Below are 22,599 nucleotides of genomic sequence, written 5' to 3'. Positions count from 1 at the left end.
AAGCTTCAATTATTTATCTATATTTTCAATCTTAAGAAGTTAGAAGAAAAAGAAAATTTAATCTAAATGAAGTAGGAAAAAGCAAATGTAAAGAGAAGAAATCAATAAAATTGAAAACAATGAATAAAATCAACAAAATTAACAATTTAGTTCCTTGAAAGTATTAAGACAAAAATTTAAACCTAGAAAGATTGATCATGAAAAAATACAAAATACCAATATCAATAATAAAAAAGATTCCACTATAGACCATTCAGACATCAAAATGAAAATAAGGGCATACTATTAACAATATTATATGAATACATTTGACATCTTTAATAAAATCAACTAATTATTTGAAAAGACACAACTTAGAAGCAAACATGATAAAATGGGATATTTGGACACTCGTATTTCTATCTAAGAAAATAATCTGTTATCAAAATCTTCCTCAAATACACACAAAAATAAACAAGCAAAAACACTCCAGTCTCAACATTTTCATTGGTAAATGCTATCAAATATTTAAGAAAGAAATAATGCTTATCTTCCACAAACTATTTCAGAAAATAGAGAAAGAAGAAACATCTCTAAATTTATTCTAGGAAGCAATAGTAATCCTGATATCCCAATAGAAAGAAAGAAAGTGAGAGAGAGGAAGGAAGAAAGAGGAAACAAAAGAAAGAAGGAAAGAAAAAGAGTAAAGAAAGAAGAAAAATTGTAGATCAAAGTGTCTCCCGAAAATATATGAAATAAATAACAATATATGAGGAAATTTTTAAAAATGCAGAAAGGTAACACATCAAGCCAAGCAGAGTTTATCCCAGGAATGCAAGGTTGATTTAACATTTGAAAATTAATAAATACAATACTACATACAACTGAACAAAGGAAAAACATACAGTCATTTTAATATATGTAGAAAAAACATTTGACAAAATTTCTCACTCATTACTGATAAAAACTCTCAGCAAACTGAGGAACAAAAATGCTGGGAGAGCTGGCTCCCACCTGTTATCCCAATGACTTGGGAGGCTGAGATGAGAATATTGCTTGAAGCCCAGAGTCTGAGGCTGCAGTGAGCTATGATCACACCACTGCACTTCAGTCTGAGCAACAGAGAGAGACCTCATCTCTAAAAAAAATAAAAATAAAAAAATAAAAAGAAGAAAACTTCCTCAATCTGATATAAGACATCTATGAAAAAGTCATAGCTAATGACATACAGAATGCTTTCTCCCCTAAAATTAAAAAAAAAATAAAAAAGTAAGTCTGCTTTCACTCCTTTATTTAACATAGTAGTGTAGGAAAAAATAAAGGAAAGGAAAAATAAAGTTGTCTCTGTAGGCAGATGACATAATTGTTTCCATGAAAACAAATTAATAGAACTAATAAGTGAGTTTAGTAAGGTCTCATATATAAAGTCAGTTTTTTTTCAATATATACATATTTTTATTATACTTTAAGTTCTAGGGTACATGTGCACAAAAGAGACATTTATGCAGCCAACAGACACATCAACATGAAGTCAGTTTTTTTAAAACAAATGAATATCTATTCACAACAAATATTTGAAAAAGAATGTTTTAACATGGCATAAAACATATAAATTAAGAATCAATTTAATAAAGATTCAAAAACTTCTACGTGAAAACCAAGACATTAAAGAAGTACTAAATAAATGGAGAGATATACTATGTTTATGGATTTGTAGAATCAATAGTATTAAGATGTAAATTCCCCCTAACATAATATGTAACTTCAACACAGTCCCTTTTAAAATCACTTCAGGCATTTTTATAGAAATTCATAAACTGATACTAAAATGTATTTTAAAATGCAAAAGATTTATAATAGCCAAAACAATTTTTAAAAAAGAATACAACTGAAGGTCCTATACTAAATAATTACATTAAAACTTCCATAATAAAGACTGTAGTCTTGTCATATTGGCTAAGGACAGACAAATAGATAATGGAACAGACTGGGGAGTCCAGCAATAAGCCTACACTTAGGCAATAAGTTATTTTTTGAGAAAAGCTCCAAAGTAATTCTATGAAGAAAGAAAAACTGTTCAGCAAATTGTTCTGGAACAACTGGTGTACATATGGAAAAGAATAAACCACAATCGTTATCTCATACCATACATGAAAATTAATTTGAGCTGGGTTATAGATAAAAATCTAAAAGTAAAACTACAAAGCTTTGGGAAGAAAATATAAGAGATTATCTTTGTAACTTGGGAGTAGACAAAGATTTATTTACAGAGCAATATCTGTAAAAGAAAATATGAATAAATTAAACTACATCAAAATTAAAAGTTGTTGCTGTTCAAATTCTACTCTTTAAAATAAACAGGTCGGGGTGTGGTGGCTCACTCTTATAATCTCAGCACTTTGGGAGGCTGAGGCGGACCAATCACTTGAGTCCAGGAGTTCAAGACCAGCCTGGGCAATATGGCAAAACCCTGTGTCTACAAAAAAATACAAAAAAAACAAAAACAAAAACAAAAAACAAAACTAGCTGGGAGGTGTGGTGGAATGCACCTGTAGTCCCAATTACTAAGGAGGCTGAGGTCGGAGAGTCACCCAAGCCCGGAAGGTCAAGGCTGCAGTGAGCTGAGTCATTATTGTGCCACCACACTCCAGCCTGAGTGAAAGAGTGAGACCTGCTTCAAAATAAAATAAAATACAGGCAAGCCACACATACCAAGAATACATTCATAAGATACATATTCTGAATATATAAAGAACTTCTACACTCACTCAATAATAAAAGACAAACAACTCAATTTAAAAATTGGGCAAAGCACTTGAAAACACTAGTTAAAGAATGAAGCAAATGAAAAAGGTATGCAATACCATTACTTCTTAGAAATATGCAAATTCAAATCACAATGAGGTGCAACTCCACACTCAGTAGAATGGTAAAATATAAAAAGCATGACAATACCAAATATTTGCAACATTGTGACGTGACTGGAACTCTCATATATTGATGATGGGAAAGTAAAAAGGCAATTCACCTATAAAAAAGTTTTAGTAGTTTAGTATGAAGTTAAGTATCTACCCTTGACCCAATAATTCTACTCCTACTTATCCGAGAGACATGAGAAAAATGATCACCAAAAAAAATGTATAAGAATATTCATTAAAAATTTATTCAAAAGACACAAAACCAGGAAACTTACCAGATCCGCAAACTGGAGAAATCAAAGTATATCCATACAGTGCAATTCCAACAGGAGTGAATTGTTAATACACACAACATGAATGAGTATCACAGATATGCTGGCCAAATAAAGCCAGACACAGAAGTGTACATACTTCTGATTTCACTGCATGTTGTATGTTTTTATGTTTGCATATATTATAAAAGAGGCAAAACTAATACAAGGGTTAAAAAATATCAGAAATGTGGTTCCTTCACGGGTAGGATAGGAATTGCCTGGGGGGGTACAGGAGGCAATCTTCTTAGGAGATTGAAAACTCTGTATTATGGTAAAGATATGGTTACCCAGGGACATCCATTAGTCAAACTTGTACAACTAAGGTTTGTTTATTTTAGGCTGGGTGTGGCAGATCCCAGCACTTTGGGAGCCTGAGATGGGAGGATTTCTTGAGGCCAGAGGTTCAAGGTTACAGTGAGCTATGATTGCACCAGTGCACTCTAACCTGAGTGACAGAGCGACACCTTGTCTCTATTAAATATATATATACACACACACACACACACACACACACATATACACATATATGTATATATATTTGTATATTTTCATGTGTAAAATTTTACTATAAAAAACTATAGAAATTATAATATTTTGGTGAGGGAGTAGGGATTGGATGGAGGTATAGGTGAAATAAGAATAACAGAGTATTGATAATTGTTGAAGCTGGGTGATGATAACCTATGGATTCATTATGCAATTCTATTTACTTTGTATATTTTTGAAATTTTCCATAAAAAAAGTTCATAAAATCAAACACTACTTATATCATCATCTAATATATGTTTTTATATTAGATCCATACCAAGTTCACATACTTTATAAGAATAGTGTTTGGGACATACTTTAGTATTTCAATATTTCATTCATAAGGGTTGCTCTATGCATATCTGTACAAGAAAATCACTCTCATACAACCTAAGTTTGTCATAGTCTGGGTAATTCAAAGATACTTTTAAATAATCAAACAAGCCAACAAGCACAGTCAACTTCATGAAGTAAAGAACATGGTGGCAAAAGCATGAAGACTTTATATTAAAAATGACAGTTTTTAATAAGAATCGTAAGATCATAGAATTAAGCATCAGAACAATGTATGAATAAAGCTAGACAAAATTGTCCCAACATCAATCAATGCATCAGAGTCCAATAGAAGAAAAAAGAAAAATAATCCACTCTGAGTATTTAAAACAAGAGGATTGTAATGCAGGGAATTGATTACATTTTGCTCCTCTGCTGACAGAGGAGCAGAAAAGTCAAAGTGGGAATAGTGAGGTAACCCAGAGATTAGCAACAACCAGAAATGTCTACTACCACTTTGCTGGAGAGATAAAGGGAAGGGGCCCATGAACAAAGCCCAGAGGCTAAAGTCTCCTATTGGAAGTTAGATCCATAAAAGGTTTATCCAGTAAGACCTAAAAACAGGAGGAGATGCAGCTGCTTGTGAAGATGCCACCCAGAGAGAGAGGTCTGGATAAAAACTCTCCCACCCTCTCATCTCCAGCCAGTGGCTCCCATTGGCCAAAGGCATCTGACATAGGAGCCTGGGAAACAGACTGCAGAGGATTTAAGAATCCTTAGATCCAAGAAGAGGATTACATCCAGAAAAAAGTGGATAATGAAGAAAAAAATTAACATATGCTTTGGCACAAAGCCTATGTGCTTCCATCTCTATCAACTTTATTGAACTTCATCGGTTCTTCAGTTTCATGTTGGACATTGCAGACAGCACAGATGTTACTGTCTAAACGATTGCTTATAAAGCTTTCCATCTCCTTTCTCACTCCAGTTGGGGGTGGACTTACAATAGAGCTAATAATTCATAAACCTCAGGGTACCTCTCTTGCTCCAGTCTCTTCCAAGGCCCTGGGAAAGATCCTAGTAATTTTTTTTATAAATTTACAATTATATGTTCTTTTTCCTTTTTTTTTTTTTATTTTTGAGACAAAGTCTTGCTCTGTCACCCAGGCTAGAGTGCAGTGGCGTGATCTCAGCTCACTGCAACCTCCACCTCCTGGGTTCAAGCGCTTCTCCTGCCTCAGCCTCCCAAGTAGCTGGGATTACAGGCGCCTGCCACCATGCCTGGCTAATTTTTGTATTTTTTATTTTTTGTATTTTTAGTAGAGACAGGGTTTCATCATCTTGGTCAGGCTGGTCTCCAACTCCTGACTTCGTGATCCACCTTCCTCGGCCTCCCAAAGTGCTGGGATTACAGGCCTGAGCCACCACACCCAGCCATTTTTTTTTTTTAAAGTTAAGTCCAGGAGAACACACACACACACACGCACAAAAAAAGGGGGATCCAAAAAATTATATAAGCTTCTCATCCCATAAAACCTGAATTTGCTCCTTTCCTAACTGCTCTCTTTCCCCTCATATCTAAGTTAGTGCCTTTTTCCAAATTTTCTTCTTTAACTCCTATCCTATCAAATGAAACCAAGACTCTGGATAGGAAAAGCTGGGAAAATTCTAATTCCACACAGCAAGGTGTAAAAAAAAAAAAAAAAAAAAAAAAAAATTACGCCCCTTATGGAAACTTTCTTTACAATAGTAATCACAAACTCAAGGTCTTCCTGGGATCCAGGCAGATGACAAATGAATGAGAAAGGATAGGTGGTAACTAGGACAGCCCCAGGGGCTGATGCCCAGGTTGAAGTGAGCAACTGTTACTCAGCTTTGGCCAATTGTTGCACGAAATTGAGTTCGCTGTGTCCAGATCTTCCTTTAAAATAAAAACCTGAAATATGATTTCTTTTTTCTATGAAAAACTGTGAACTCTTTTGATTTTTAAATGCACCCTCAAAAAACTTTAATCCACCACTGAGCAAAACAAATAACATCCAGCAATATATTGAACCTCTGGGCTGCCAGTTTACAACATTTGCTTTATAGACAACATGCATAACTTGAGAAATTTATAACACATCTTTATAAGGAATCTGATTCTTTCTACTCCCAAAGTCAAAGCCAAGAGAAAGAAAAGAATAAAGCTACTCCAAGAAGTCTCTGTCCAAGGTCTATAACAGGTTGATTATAATTTATTATAATAAAAAGTTAGATTCCACTAAATCAGTTTAGTGCCAAGCACTGTGCTGGTGCTGGGATATAAATATAAGAGAGGTGAAGCCAAAAGATTAGGACAGGCTACCAGATTTATAACTACATAGAATACTGTGACGATAAAATAGCTAACAGGTACCTAGATATGAAGTGCCAGGCACTGTGCTCAGTGTTTTTGTCAATCAGACAGTCAGTCAACAAACACGTTAGGCCAGGCGCTGTTCTTTGTGTTTGGATAAAGCAATGAACAAAATAGATAACCCTAACTCCTAGAAATTTAGAATCCAGTGGAGGAAGATAGAAAATAAGCCTGTGATATAATAAAGAAAATAAGGTGATGAGGTAGAGAGAGACCGGGGAGATAAAGGCTGTCTAGGCTGGTGAGGAAAGGCCTCTATGAAGAACTGACTTTGAATGGAGACCTGACTTATGAGAAGGAGGCAACCATGAAGCAAGCTTTATGATGTTTATTCCAAGTAGAAGGGAAACCAAATGCTAAAGGTCCCAAAAGGGCTGCAAGTTTGGCATAACTGAGGAATGGAAATGAAGCCAGTGTGACTAGAGTAAGGGAAGAGTAGAAGATGAACGCAAAGAGGAGGCAGGGCCCATATGGCATTGTAGACCATGATTGGGAGTGTGGATATTCATCTACAGTGCTCAAGGAGCTGCTGCTTTCAGCAGTGCCCTGGTGTGTTCTGATTTAAGCATTAAGATCACCCTGGCTGGCCAGAGGAGGAGGAGGCTCTTCTGATGTGAAGGCTGAGCTGATGATGGCCTGGACTAGATTATACCAGTGCTATTGGTGAGAAATGGGCAGATTTCTCATTTATTTACTTTTTTTTTTTTCTTGATACAGAGTTTCATTCTGTTGCCCAGGCTAGAGCACAGTGGCACAATCTCGGCTCACTGCAACCTCTGCCTCCTGGGTTTAAGCGATTCTCCTGCTTCAGCCTCCCAAATAGCTGGGGCTACAGGTGCACACCACCATGCCCAGCTAATTTTTGCATTTTTAGTAGAGAAGGGGTTTCACCATGTTGGCCAGGCTGGTCTCGAACTTCTGGCCTCAAGTGATCATCCCGCCTCAGCCTCCCAAAGTGCTAGGATTACAGGCTTGAGCCGCCACACCCAGCTTTATTTACTTATTTTTAATAGACTGAATATATGGTCTGAAGGCAAGACCTAAAACAAAGATGATATCTTGACTTGGACCTGTCAGGATCTGCTCAGGCCACCACCACTGGCACCACCTCCATTACCTTTGTCTACTAAGCAATTACCATTGACCAGCCACCTTCATGTCAGCACCATTCCCAAGCCCCATTACTCTTTGTCGAAGCTGATGCTAGGCTAGATTCTTAGGTCATTTATAGAGTCAGTAAGTTAAGTATTTCTCTTTATCAAGTGGTATGGAAGTATTTCAACACTGTAACAACTGGTATAACCATACTAAGTCATACCAGCTGAACATCACTCCTAGATTAAGAAGTCAGAAATGTATCCTGTTTGACATAGGACATTGGTGAACATTTCTGGTCAGGAGAATGACAGGATCGAAGTAGGATTTCCTACTAAAGATTGTGCTGGCAGCTGTGTGCAAGATAAGTTAGAGAGTGCAGGGGTAAATGGGAGGCAAGGAAATCAATTAGCAGGTTATTCCAGAAGAGGCACGAGATAAGGTGAGAAGAACACACAAATTCCCTAAAGGGTTTTGCTGTGAAACTTAGACCCTGCCTTGATAGGAGGAAGATAATGTAATCCCTTCCCCCTTTAAATTGATTTGTTGGAGCTTTGTTTTGTTACTGAGGGTACCAAGTGAATATATCACTGTCACCTACATGCCCTGTGGGTAAATGATAAAATTACCATCGCTGCTTCCTCTTTCTTGAAAGAATGAACTTCAGAACTCTGTGGTACAGAATGGGCTAGATTAGGAGTAAGTTTCTGAGATAACTGGGTACTTTCCAATGACAGAATCATTCTATGAATCTGTGACATGTTGGTTAACCTGGTGGACAGGGGGAGATGCACACCTGACTTGAAGAGTATTGAAAAATCCTTAAAATATATCTTTGCTTATTTATGAATGTCAGAATAGAACAATTAAGAGAGAGAGAGAGGAAGAGACAGAGAGATAACAAAATACTAACAATTGGTTAGTACTTTGGTGAATCTAGGTGAGGGGTATGTGAATAATCATTGTATTGTTTTACAACTTTTCTGTAGTTTTAAAATAATTCAAAATAAAAAATGGGGAGGGAATAATTTGTTTATTTACTAATTATAATTTCTGGGAACTAGCTGACCTTTGTTTTTGTAATTTTCATTTTAATGAGTCATTTTATTTTCACTCTTGGAAAGGTCTCTATATGGGTTAAATGATAAAGTGAATACCATATGCCCAAATCAAGGGGTCAGGATTTTAAACATTACCTAATGTCAGCGGCCTTTTTCCTTCCTGCGTTCATTTCCCTGTTATTACACAGGCAAGGATCCTTTGTATGGCTGTAGAGTTTCTAAAAAGGAAAAGCCACCTGTGCTCCTCTTTACCATAATAGTAATTCAGACTGACACAGAAAATACAATCATTAGATGTTTTGCATTATCTATTTATGATTTGTTTGTTTAGGTTTCTGATAATTTTGAAAGTGTCTGCTGTGTTGAACAAATTTGATATAATAAGAATGTCAGAGTACACTTTAAATTCTATTTATTTTTCAGTCTATCACTTTGAAATACATTCTTGAAATAAAAATGTTCAAATCATCCTAGCTTCTTTAAGCTTGAACAAATTCCAATGCAATCCCAGTTACTGTTAGAAGCCCAAAAATAACATTTTTGCTTTGTGGTTTACTCACACCTTAAAATATTAGATTGAACCACATGAAATCGACATTTTGTAGATCAAAAACAGTCAAATATTGACAGTTTCATATGATTCACTCTATTAGAATCAACACATTTCTTGCAATGTCGACATCAGATAAAAATATCATTCATATTGCCTATTATATATAATTTCCTCCCTGATGAAAGCTCCTCATAGTTTACAGAAACATAGAGACTTATAGTTTATAGAGCCTCAAAGCATGTCCCCAAGGCAGTTTGTTAAGATAAATGTAAATTCTCATACAAACTTAAAAATGATGTCGTTCAGCATGTAGCATCCAACTCATTATTCTATTATTTCTGGGTTGGCAGTATTGAAAGAATAGAAACAATTAAGGTTAGCTCTTTTTTTTTTTTGGATTTTTTTTTTTTGCATATCTTAGTGACCTGTACACATTCTGGAACTGTTCAAATACCTTTATGGTGGATTCCATGATTGTTGTCGTCAAAGTATATCACTTCTTTGCCTGTCAAATGAAAACCCCACTGAAGGTGGTTAAAAGTTCACTAAGTAGTGTTAATCTATTGGGCAACCTATATCTTTTCCTTTCATTTTTTCCTGAATTACAGCTTCCGATAACCCCTGACAGGTGAAAAACCACACATTGAATCCTCTTACTCTCTTTTTTTAACAAGTGCATATTTTCAATTTAGCATGTATCATACTTAAATGCCAAATCCTGAACGTACCTTATGATGCAATAGGGCATAGATTATCCTAACTGCTCTGGTAAGTGCTATAAAAAAAAGGTCTCTGAATAATTCTCATAATTTGGCTCACTGACAACACTGGAATATTTTTTGCTTGACATAGAAAATGTATTTTCCCCTCAAATGATTAGTGTTTCCCTTGGATATTTCTCATTAATACCCTTAAATATTGTAGTCCTGAGAATTGCAGTTTTTCTAAAAGCAAAAAATCACATAAATTCTCTTTTGGAACTAAACTCTCTTAACAGAACATAAAATATTGGAGCTTCAGTACAACGTAGCTGCTCTTACCATTTCAAACTATAGTGGCAAAATAAAGAAGTAACTGAGATTTGGACTTGTTTACTTATTTAATTCACAAAATCATTTTTTATGCCAGGTGCTCTGAAAGCTCATTACTCTTGTCAATAAAGAGTCTTTTTTCCTTTTTTGACAAAAAAAACTCTACACTTTCTAATGTTACCTAGTATCCCAGTAGTAAAATTGGCAGAAGATAAAAGAGACTGGAACAGAAAGTCAACTAGAGGACAGTAATGTAATAGCAGGAATATTACAAAGGAGGCAACAAAAAGAGTATGAAAGGTTATGATAAGGATGCTGCTAAAGAAATCTGTATGCCCAATGCACACACACAAGTACTGACCAGTGCTCAATCCTCATGTTAGTACTACCAGCAGGTAACATGGTGTAGTAGTTTTGAACTTGGATGCTGGTGACACAGTATCTGGATCCAAATCCTGGTTGCAGTTGGGTAATCTGAGATGAATTATTTGTCCTCTGTGCCCCAGTTTACTTTTCAATAAAATTAATGTAAAAATGGCACGTATGGGATTGGGTTAAAAGGACTAACAGTGATATTCCAGGTGAAGCACTTAGAGCCTAGTTTTGATTAATTACCAACAAATGTTAGCTATAAAAGTGATAGCTGTATCTTAGTAATTTGTTTTCTATCCTTCACAGCAGAACTTTCCCAAACATACAAATAAACACACTCATAATACTTGACAACAGCTTTGGAAAGAACTCAGAAAAATTAATTATGTGGATTCAGATGAAGCCAAACTTATAAACTAATTGGATAATCTAATTATTGGGCAGCTATTATAGTTTCAATATACTCACCTAAAGAGGTGCAATGTGCTGTAGTAGACAGATGGCAAACTTTAGAGCCAGGTAAGGCAGGGTTCTACTTTTAGTCATGTGACCTTGGACAACTCATTTAATTTTCCCAAGGCTCAGTTTCCCAACTTTCACAATAGGGATAACAATACCTACTTTGCAAAATTGTAGATAAGCAGTAATAACCAGGAGAGTACTATGCATATCATAGGCACTCAGTTCATGGCAACTCTCATTTTTCTTAAGGGAAAGAGGCAGGCTATTGGATACAGTGAGACTAGAATATCAGAAACTTTAACACACGACAAAATCAACTCAACAAACCTTCACGCTTGCTTTGATATCCAAATTAGAAAGCTTTTGGTATAGAGTAATATTTTTAGTTTACTCAAAGTTTCTTTTGGTCACCCTGTATTTTCTTTTATTGTCTTAGACATTTAAACTTTCATAACTCCAAGAGCTTTGAAATTGAGGTCAAATAAGATTTTAAAAATCCATCCCCCAAACAAAAGCTGTCCTATGATCCTCGTTATGGAACCCTTATTATGCATCCTACACATGAGTCTTATGGCAGACCTAAATCATTAGATACACCATTACTCAGAGGATCTTACATAGCGTTAGATTAAAAAACAAAAGCAACAACTGAGTTTCAGAGGGTGAAGTAAGTTGCCTATAAAGCTAGTTAAGTTTATTGCTGATATTTACCAGGTTCTTTTGCTGTTCCAAGTAGTAAACTAAGTACTTTACATACATTATCTCATTTAATTCTCAAACTATCCCTGGAGGCAAATATTATCATTGTCATTATTTTATAGATGAGAAAACTGATTCTTAGATATGCACTATCCAAAAAGTAACCATTAGCCACATGTATTAGTCTGTTCTTACACTGCTATAAAGAAATTTTGGAGATTGGGTAATTTGTAAAGGAAAGAGGTTTAATTGACTCACAGTTCCACAAGGCTGGAGAGACCTCAGGAAACTTACAATCATGGTGGGAGGGGAAGCAAACATGTCCTTCTTCACATGATGGCAGGAAGGAGAAGTGCCAAGTGAAGGGAGGAAAAGTCCCTTATAAAACCATCAAATCTCGTGAGAACTCGCTCACTACCATGAGAACAGCATGGGGGAACCATCTCTCTAATCTAATCACCTCCCTCAAGGTCCGTCTCACAACATATGGGGATTATGGGAACTACAATTCAAGATGAGATTTGGGTAGTAGCACAGCCAAACCATATCACCACATGTGGGTATTAACATTTCAATTTAATTTAATTTAAATACAATTTAATATTCAGTCTCTGAGTTACACAGGCCAATTCTAAGTGCTCAACAGCAGCTACTGTATTTTTCAGCTCAAATTATAAAACATAGAACATCATTACAGAAAGTTCTATCAGACAGCCTGAGAGTTTAAGTAATCATGTAAGTTTACACAGCTAACACATGGTAGAACCAGGACTCAAATCTAGGAGTCATGACTCCTAAACTTGTCCTGCCATGACTAGGTCAAACAAAAAGATAAAAGAAAGTGTGTGATCAAATCTAGGTGACTATATATAAAGCAGTTTCAGGTGTTAATTGATTGAAGAATCCATTATTGGGAGGTGAAATTTTATAGATTAGCATGTTAAGATGTCTGTTGGTGACTAGAAGGTAGAAGATACAGAGGCACAAACGTTTGTAGCATGATAAGAGTGAACCAGTAGACTAAAAGAGATTAAGGAATGAAGAATTGATGGGACAAGATTGAGGTGGCCCTATGGGTGATTGACTTCCCAAGCACTTCTGGTCGTCAAATACAAGCCTCAGAGAGTAGGCAGAGATGATTCACTCAACTCATCAAATGTCTCTTCTAAACCAAAAATCCAGGATTGTGGTAACACCATTGTTCAAAAGTTTGTTACTTCAGACAACTGGTTCTTAATTGGGAGCCATTTTGACCCCAAGGGTACATTTGGCAGTGTCTGAAGATATTCTTTGTTGTCAAGACTGGGGTTACATGCCTCAAAGGAGAAAACAGAGAATTACCATATCTTCCAGCAATTTCACTTCTAGGTAAATACCCAAGAGAATTGATAGTAGGAATTCAAGCAGATATTTGTATACCCATGTTCATAGCCATATTTTTCACAATAACCAAAAGGTGGAAGAACTCAAGTGTCCATTTTCAGATGAATGGATAAACAAAATGTGGGATATATATACAATGGAATATTATTCAGCTATAAAAAGGAAGTTCTGACACATGCTACAAGATGAATAAACCTTGAAAACATTATGCTTAGTGAAATAAATCAGTCACTAAAGGACGAATATTGTATGATTTCACTTACATGAGGTACCTAGAGTATCAAATTCATAGTGACAGAAAGTAGGATGGTAGTTACCAGGGGCTGCAAGTAGGAGGAAATGAGAAGTTATTGTTTAAACATGTATAGAGTAGTTTCAGTTTGGAAAAATAAAAATGTTCTAGAGATGGCTGGTGGTGATGATTGCACAACAATTTGAATGCATTTAATGCCACTGAACTGAGTGAACTGCATACTAAAAATTATTAAATGGAAAATTTTATATTTTATATCTATGACCCCAATTTAATAAAAAGACTGGGGGGGTGCTACTAGCATCTAGTGGGTAGAGGTCAAATATCCTACAATGCACAAGCCAGTTCCTACAACAAAATATTTTCAATAGTGCTGAAGTTGAGAAATCTTGCTTTTACAAAATACTGAAAGAACAACAGTAAGAGACTGTCCAACGATAGTGGTCTTTTCACTCTTAATGCTGTTAAGATATATATATATCAGATATAAGGATATAAAACATGATATATAAATCATATGAGAGATAATTATAAGATATATATAATTAAAACATATATATATCTTATAATTTCACTAACAAAGTCTGAAACTATATAAGACTTCCCATATTGGCATGAATACGTCACATTTTGTTCTATTCCCAAGTCTATCCTATGCATGTGCAATAATAAACTTTCTTAGCAAGGGTGTATTGTTTCAGTACATATTGATCTAAATGTATGTAATCTGATTGAAATACTTAGGAAAATCATAAGTCTTCTAAAGCTGTTTTTTCTACAAATAAAAGGGCATCATGGTTTTTAAAACTCTTTATTTCTCCTGTTTAATATCATAGAGAAATCTCAATGATGAAGAATCATTTTGCCACTGCTGCTTATACTATCATTTAAAAGGGAGCAATGTCTCCTGTTAAATAACTAAGGCAAATTCAAACTTGAATGCACAATGACAATAAAGAAAAATTATTCTTTACATTTTCTATCTATGAGGCCACTGGATCAATGGCCTTTCAATTCAATCAAATGCTGTAAACCTCCAATGTGGTCCAGCAATCAGTGAGTCTTATTAGCATTTACAAGAAGCTGAGCAGCTTATTTGATTGAAAATGATTGAGGCAATTCTGTATGTGTGTGTTGGGCCACAGCATTTGATAACAGGTTAAATCTAATGAAAAAGGACTAGAGTTTGAGAAACAATGACCCAGAGAAATTTTTCAGTATTTTATTAATTTATTATTTATTTATTCCTCAATTTTGTTCTGGAAGAGGTTTAAGGCAGCTGTAAGTATTTTTATAATCTGCAGACTCTTGTCTTATGTTTGTGAATATTTTATAGACTGGGTGCTAAATACTAAATTATTAAAGATCATTTTTAAAAAAAAAGAAAAAGAAACAGAGCAGCCTAATATCTTCTAACTCCAGTGAATTACTTTATCTTGAAGACTATTAGCAGACAAGATGGTACATTTTACTTGCAATTCATTTGTATTCAAGGATACTACTACTATAGAAAATTGCTTATTTAAGTAGAATAAAATGTGTTCTGAGTGGACCCTGACTGGTATTTTTACTTTCTGACTTACATCTGCCCTTCTGAAAAACACTCCAATTTCTTTTCTGAGAATTTCCTTCCCTCCATGTTATTGTCTTAGTGGGGGTGATAAATCCAGGTGCTAGAAAATCATGCCTTCCTACTGGGGAGTCACTGGAGCTGCTGGGGGCTCTTTCTACCAACTCTTCCCTGCATCACTCAGGTACAAGCAGGAGTTAGATTTACAGTCTCAGCTTGGTGTGTGGATATGCTGTCCAGGACTTCGAATCTTAAGCAAGTGATACAAAGATTGAAGAGACATTTGGAGTTGAGTCAACCTGGTGGCAGTAGCACAACAACACTACAAATGCTATGAGATATTTCTCTAGTTCTTGATTCCGAGCTTTCTCACTCTTTCTTCTTTTATTCCTGCTTCCTACCCAAGTGTTCCAATTACTATGGCTGTGTAACAAACCACTCTCAACTTACTGGTTTAAAACAATAACAATAATAAAATCTGTCTTGCTCAAGACTGCACTCTGGGGCAGGGTTTTAGCAGGGACAGCTCAGCAGAGGCAGCTTGTTTCTCTTCTATTCATTTTCACATAGGGTGGCTCAGAGGCAGGGGCTTGAAGGCTTGCTTAAATGTCTGGCGCCTGGACTGGGAAGACTCGAACGGCTGAAGACCAGAACAGGTGGGGCCCCGTGAGCATCTCTCATAATTTTAAATGGCTTATCCAGCATGGTCGCTGGAGGGTGGCTGGACTTCTTAAATGGCAGCTCAGGGATCCAAAGATCCGTGCCCCAAGAGAGATCAACACAGAAACTCTTATCATTTTTTAAAATGACCCAGCCTCTGATGTTATATCGTGTCATTTCTGCACCACTCTTTTAATTGAAGTACTGTAGAAGTCCATTCAGGTTCAAGGGCAAAGAACATAAACTCACCCACCTCTCAATGGTGTACAGACAATATCACACTGTAAGAAGAACATGTGGGACAGGATATATACTAGTACGATAATCTTTGGAAAATTTCACCCACCACATCAAGCCTTCTGATTGATGTAATCTTGTTAATTTTCAGTAAACTTTCTGTTGCTGATCTTAGCCAGGGTCAGATTCTATTACTTATAACTAAAGAATCCCAATCTAATAGAATAAGGATCTGTTTTATTAAACCCTTGACAATTAATTGCCACTTTAATGTTGGATATTTCATTAACATCACCATCGAGAGGTTGGTACTTATTCATTAATTAATTAATTACTAGACATACCTGCGTGACTAGGAAGAAGACTTTGCTTCACTGGTGAACGACTGCAACTGCTTTGTCAAGTTTCACTCCATTGCTGCAAAATAGGCACGATTATAAGCAAAGAGCTGAGGCAGAGAAAGGTTATTTGGTTTATCACAGATGGCAATGGGGAGTGCATTGCTTCCAGAAACAGACCCAGAAGTTTTCATTCCCTGGGCCAGGCTGGAACTATTAAATCACATAGAAATACCAGGAAAAGATAAGCTACATGAACCAGTGATTGCTAAACTAAACACTCTAGTGACTTCAAAGAGCCCTTAGGGCCTGCTGTTTATTTGGAATACCAGAAAAAAAAAGTGGTGAGAGAATGGTAGAATAGAAGCCCAGTTTATGATTTTATCTTAACCAGGCTAGTTTGAAGAATTTACATATTAGGGGTGCATGGGTTTATGTGTGCGTACATATATGTTTGTGTGTGTTTATAGTCCTTTAATCTTTCTAAAAAAGCTTCAGGACATGTGTGTATGTATTTTAAATTAATGTATATTTCAAAAAATATTATCAGTCAGTCATCAAAAAATCCTCCTAAAGATCCTCAAAAGATCCTTTTCTCCTAAAAAGAAAAGAATTTTGACATAAAAGCACATGAATATCAACAATACAGTTTAGAAAAAAAATCAGATGAGATAATTAATATGTAAAATGTGATATTGCTTTATTAAAGATGAAAATAAATAAATAAATAAATAAATAAAATAATGGAGTGAGGGACTAAGTTTATTGTTTCTAGGAACATTCCATTCCTCCTTCTGGGACTTATAAGTCAATTTTCCTCAGATATCAGAATGTTCTAGAAGATTTTTAAAAACCTAATTGTTTGATTGACCACCTGTACTTCCAAACTCTTTTTATTGATAACACTGTTGGAGGTAAAAGAGAGAAAGAAAATATATGCCTATGATTCTAGCCACTGGTGTTTTTCAGGATTTAATTTTTACCTTTAAGTGTTCAAATATTATATTTCATCTACTTTCAATCTCTCTTTTTCTAACTCCATTTCCACCTCTTTTACTTTTGGTTCTTTTCCAGAGACCACTCTTTTCAGTGACAGACATCTCCATGAGCTGTTCTTTGTGACCACCAGCTGTGTTGTGAGAACTGTTTTGGTCTTGCTTTTCTTCATGCCTGTCAAAGGCCACAGAGTGTTGAAGCCTGCAAACGCAGCCTGAATCAGCACGGACCCCAGAGACTTTCAACAGCATCTCAATAAAACTTTCAATTATCTCCATTTTATACACAGTATTTCAGTTGTGGGTGACACACTTCGTCTGAACAAAATTATATTAAATAACACCTTGAATGAAAAGGTCCATTCAAACAGAGAAATAATACAGAGAATTATACCCAATATCTTGTTTTTTATTATACATTATGAATAAAATCACTACTAAAAGCCAAGAAAAATCATCAATGTTCTTTTTAGAATCACAAATGTCCCAACAACCTTTGATTTGAAAACCCCTTGTGGCCTAAGCACCTTAAGCTATCTTGCAGAAAATTCTATGTGTGTTAAAACACTTGCAGGGACTACTTTTCCAAAGAAATGATTATTAAAGGACATTAGTGAAACATCTTTATATTGACTAATTTTAGAGCTATCCGTTCACTCTTTATTCTTTGCATGTGTTTATCTTGTTTTATTAGCAACTTGTTGCTAGATTCTGATGTGTTAATTCTTAGCTACAGTAAGGTTGTTTTAAATGTTATGTTTACTATGATATTACTTAAAAAAAAGTTACATTTTCGCCTCTGTGTAAGCACAGAGCTGGTGAACTAAACAACATACATAACTCTCAATCTATCATCTGCATTCCCTTTGCATTAGGTGTAACACTGGCACAAAAATCAGAGCCCCAGCTCCAATTTTTCCAGCTGTCTCTGTTGCCCTGTGATCTTTTGGTACAAATTTTCTAGCCTGTTTGAAAAGGCAGGCTTCTACCCCCTTCTTTGATTGTACTTAGGCATTTTGCCAGCCTGCGACATGGATTAATATGAACAGAATCACAGACTTTTCTGAACACTAGTCATTTACGTGTGTTTAGTAGCATATACCCAGCAAGAGAAAGGCAGGCTGCCGTTGCCTTTGTATAGAGTCTGGGTAGGTTTTGATTTCACTCAGAGTCAAGAACAAAGCAACCTCTGACTTTTCCTCAAACTCAGCCCGTATGGAATGACTTTTAATGACTTCACGAACTGCTAGCCTTCAGATGACTGGAGTGTTTTTTGCTTCTTAAGTTTTTCCTTCTATGACGTTTTATGATTATACCTTATGGTGCAGTTCTATTTTTGTTCTCATGTGTTTCTGAGTGCTTAAAGTCTAGAGGAAAAATTTTTTAACTCATTTGGCTCCCATGAAATGTGCTTTTCAGTTTGGGGATAACGTGGAGAGAAGCTTTAAGTACTGTGCCAATACCAAACATGGCATTCCCTATTAATGAGCCAATTCCATCCCCTGAGTCTGAATAATTTAGAGAAGACGTGATGTCATTGTCTCCTTAGAGATAAATGGAAAGGAGTCTGGGTGTAGAATTTTTGAGTGGTCTTTATAATAATAGTAATTAAAAAACATTACCTCATATATTTAAACTTTGTGTGCACACCATGTGCTTTTCTCATTTTTTACCCAATATTACTCGTAAAGGACTAGTATTCCTGTTTCATTATTTTTGAAGCACTGTTTGATGACACTGGTTTAACAGTTTCTCACAGTTCACTGCTTCAGTTTTCATCAAATCATATTTCTAGTTACACTAGACACTTTCATCATCAATTTCCATATGCCTCAAAGACATGCAAGGACCAATTTGCCAACAAGTGAATTCAGATACCAGATAATAGCTGCTGTAGATTACATTTTTCTCTTACTATAGCCTTTTCTAAAATGAAAAGTTTATAACCCACCAGGCCAACCCCCTAACAACCAAACACACCATATTTGTTTAACTGGATTAGCCTGGGTCTATGGTGAAGTTTCAGGATTATGGCAAACTATTTAGTTTCGATGTGCAAATGTTATGATAAGATGAACAATGGCTGTATATACTTCCATACAGTTCATATCCCAGTTAATGGAAAAGCAGCAGCCATACAATTTGCCAAAGAACTGCCAAGTTCAAAAGAATTCTAAAATCCCTTCTCTCTTAAATTCTACAACTTTTCTGTGTTCTGTCTGTCACGTCTTGAAGCTCCCATTGTCAAATGCCACAGATTAGGGCCCATAGTAAACTCCAGATAATTCTGAAGCATGCAAATAAGTTTTATATCAATAATTGTTGATAAAGTTTAAATATCAGTCACCATTTTTCAACAAACTTTCAACTTGTTTTGCTTATGACTTTAAACAGCGTAAATAAAAACTGTCTATAGCTGGCAAAACATATTATCTTCAATTTGTTTTTTAGAACACTGTTTATGCCTTAAAGGAAAAGAACTAATATAATCAGTGCTAAACTCATGGGAAACTAAATGAAAAGCTTTTCCTCTTTCAAACATCAACTCAATCAAACTCCAAAATATGAATATCAGAAGAGTTTTCTTAATATGCTTTAGAATTACTGAATCTTTTAAAGTAATCTCTATGATTATAGCATGTGTGCAATATCCTGAAATGCAATATAGACTGTTGGGTTATTCTGAACTCATGACATTCATAGCACTTTTTAAATGAAAGTTAGATTCATAAAAAGATGGAATCATAAGAAATCATAAAAAGATGTGTAACAACGTGGGAAGATGTTCAGTGTTTTATTCGGTTGAAAATACAGGCTACCTAGGGGATGGGATATGACGAAGAAAGAGGGGTAACTTTTACTTCTTAATTACTTCTGTATTTAATTTATTTACAATGACTGTGTATTAAAATTTTTAAGTGGATTATAACACTGTATAATAATTGATATGTATCAGACATTATTCTAAGTACTTTAAAAATATCAACTTAATTTTTGTAACAACTCCATGAAGTAGATAACTTTAATATTTCTCTTTTACAAATGAGGAAACCAAGACATAGAGGGCTTAAGTAACTTATCCGAGGTCACGCAGGTACTACGAGGCAGAGATGGGATTCAAACCTTTCTCTGCTTTTGATATTCCACTATTGTTCCATTTCTGTGAAATACATTTGACTGAAAAACTACATTACAAAATGTTAACAGTGGATATTTCTGAGTGACATAATTATGGTTAATTTCTATTTTTTTATATTTTGCTTGTCTGTATTTTCCAGTTTTTCACAAAACAATCAATAGAGTGCTTTTGAAAAGAAAAAAAATCTTTTTAAAGTTCCCTTTGTACTAAAGCATGAAATAGGGATTTGGATGTAGCACTGTGATTTTTTTTTTCAACTGCTCTCCAGTAAACCTTCCTTTTATTTTATGCATCTAGTAGAACGTGTGCCCTAGATCTTGGCTATTGAACTGTTCTCTTGTGTGTAGATTTTACTTTGTTTACAGTTGGTCACTATGGGGAGTAATGAGAACAGAAGAAGAAATTGATAGAACTTTCAAAATGCAGAAATATCAAGAAAGGAATAAAGTCAGAAAATATAGTTGTCATATATTAGTCTTAAAATTTCTGAACATATTTCTATCACATCTTTCCTTAGCAGTCTGAGTTGCTGAGCAGGGCCATAGTAACTTAGCTTGTATCCATAAGGAAACAGCCACTGGAGTATCATCCTTACCATGGACTTTTCAAGGCTGATGGGGTCCACATGCAACAATCCCTGCACCAAGAGAATAATATTCTCATTTGTAGTTGGCTTCTTGTGTTGCCTCGAAAGGATATCTCTTTCTTTGAAGATCTGAATAAAAAAGCGACCACTTTTGTTAAGGATCTCTTAGAATAGTACATGGAATATTAAGCAGTTCAATTATATTAAACTGGTACTGATGAGGACAGATATGGAAGTGATGTAGCATTCAAAAACTTTAAGGAAAAACACAAATACACTTGCCTCTTGCAATTACATCTCATATGAAATAAGAACAAGTTTGTTTGTGTGCCAAAAATAGGTGTGGGGCATTGAAAGGAGGATAAAGTGAGTTCTAGGATCTGTAAGTCTGAATAAAGTTAGTGACATTTTATACCAGTGCTGTATTTAATGCCACAATTCTTCGTGAAACACAGAATCCCAAGAAGTGTGTAAAGGATAGGATGAAGATGGCTTAGAGACATAGGGAGGCTGGAGTGTGTGTGGAATTAGATGCTTCAGAAAATCATTAGGTGATTATGGCTCTCAACCTCTCTGGCTGGGTACCACAGTGCTGTTAGCCAGTAGTTCCAGATTCCAGTAATCTTTGTTGCTCTTATGTAAAATGTATTCAAATCTCTTCTATTCATTTCTCTCTAGGTATCATCTTCTACTCCAAAACTGTCCTGGCTAAGGCTACCATCAACTCCAACCCAGTGACAGCAATAGCTCCCAAAGGTCTCCCTGTGTTCAGTCTAGTTCCCTAAAATCCGTTTTACAAAATGGGGTGAATGATCTTTTCAAAATACTAATCTAATCATGTTACCCTTTCCAGTTGAATTTTTTAAACAGCTTCCCGTTGCCCTCAGGATAATATCAAACATCTTAAACAGGGCCTTACTGTGACCTTCAAATATCTTTGGCATGACCTTGTGGTTCTGGCCTCTACCTACACATCCAGATGAATCCCAGACACTTCTTGCACCATACAAATCTTCACTCTCAGTACCTGGCCACACTGGCTTCTCTTTTTCCTGCGACCTCTTTATATTCCTTTCCTCCACTAGGAAGGTCTTCACTCAACCCCAGAGGAGAAAAGGTTTCCCTGCTTTGTTTTCTTTGCACGAGGGGCCTCTCCTTTACACAGCCATAATTTGCATTCATTTATGTGATGCTTTAAGTCACTGTCTCCCATCCCCCTGAGATTGTATACTTAATAATGTGGAAAGAACTCTGCTTTTTTTACATCATTAGACCATAAGCATGGTTTAAGAACTATGCCCCACACAGAGCAGAGCTTAAAAATATTTGTTGAATACTGAATCAAGCCATTACATTAATAATATAGTGAGAAAAAGGTTTTATATTCTGCTGGTCTCTCAAACTCAGTTTTAAAAAATTGTATCCATTCATTGATTTATTTTTGCTGAGAAAGAAAGTTACATTATATATTGCTTTCTTGAAATACAGATATCTTATGCTAGATTGCCAAATTGAATTATTAAACTTGGAAATGCTCACATACCTTTTCTTTACCAGGTTTTAATGGGGTTTCTATACTGCTCATCTTTCAAGAGAGATTATTTTGAGTTTACTTCAATGAGAAAGCTCTTTTCCACCATGACAAGCCTATCCCAAGTACGACAAAATTTTACCATTTTCCCAAAATTGGGACCATGACATGGGGAAAGACTCAGCAAGCATTAATTGATTTAAAATGAGAAAAGAACTTTTATT

General features: G+C 35.4%; 1 long non-coding RNA gene across 1 annotated transcript in view; it reads right to left on the bottom strand.

Moving 5' to 3' along the window:
- The window catches only part of MPPED2-AS1 (MPPED2 antisense RNA 1), a 49,179-nt gene that overhangs the window by 19,920 nt on the left and 6,660 nt on the right, over positions 1–22,599 (bottom strand). Inside the window, exons 2-3 of the long non-coding RNA NR_183760.1 lie at positions 20,854–20,973; positions 16,131–16,203 (exon numbers count right to left, since the gene is read on the bottom strand). This is a non-coding gene — a long non-coding RNA (MPPED2 antisense RNA 1). The remainder of the gene's footprint in view (positions 1–16,130; positions 16,204–20,853; positions 20,974–22,599) is intronic.

This window comes from Homo sapiens, chromosome 11 (genome assembly GCF_000001405.40).
Source record: "Homo sapiens chromosome 11, GRCh38.p14 Primary Assembly".
NCBI classification, from domain to species: domain Eukaryota; kingdom Metazoa; phylum Chordata; class Mammalia; order Primates; family Hominidae; genus Homo; species Homo sapiens.
Note: the sequence above shows the minus strand (reverse complement) of the source record. Positions and strands in the feature narration are given on the sequence as shown.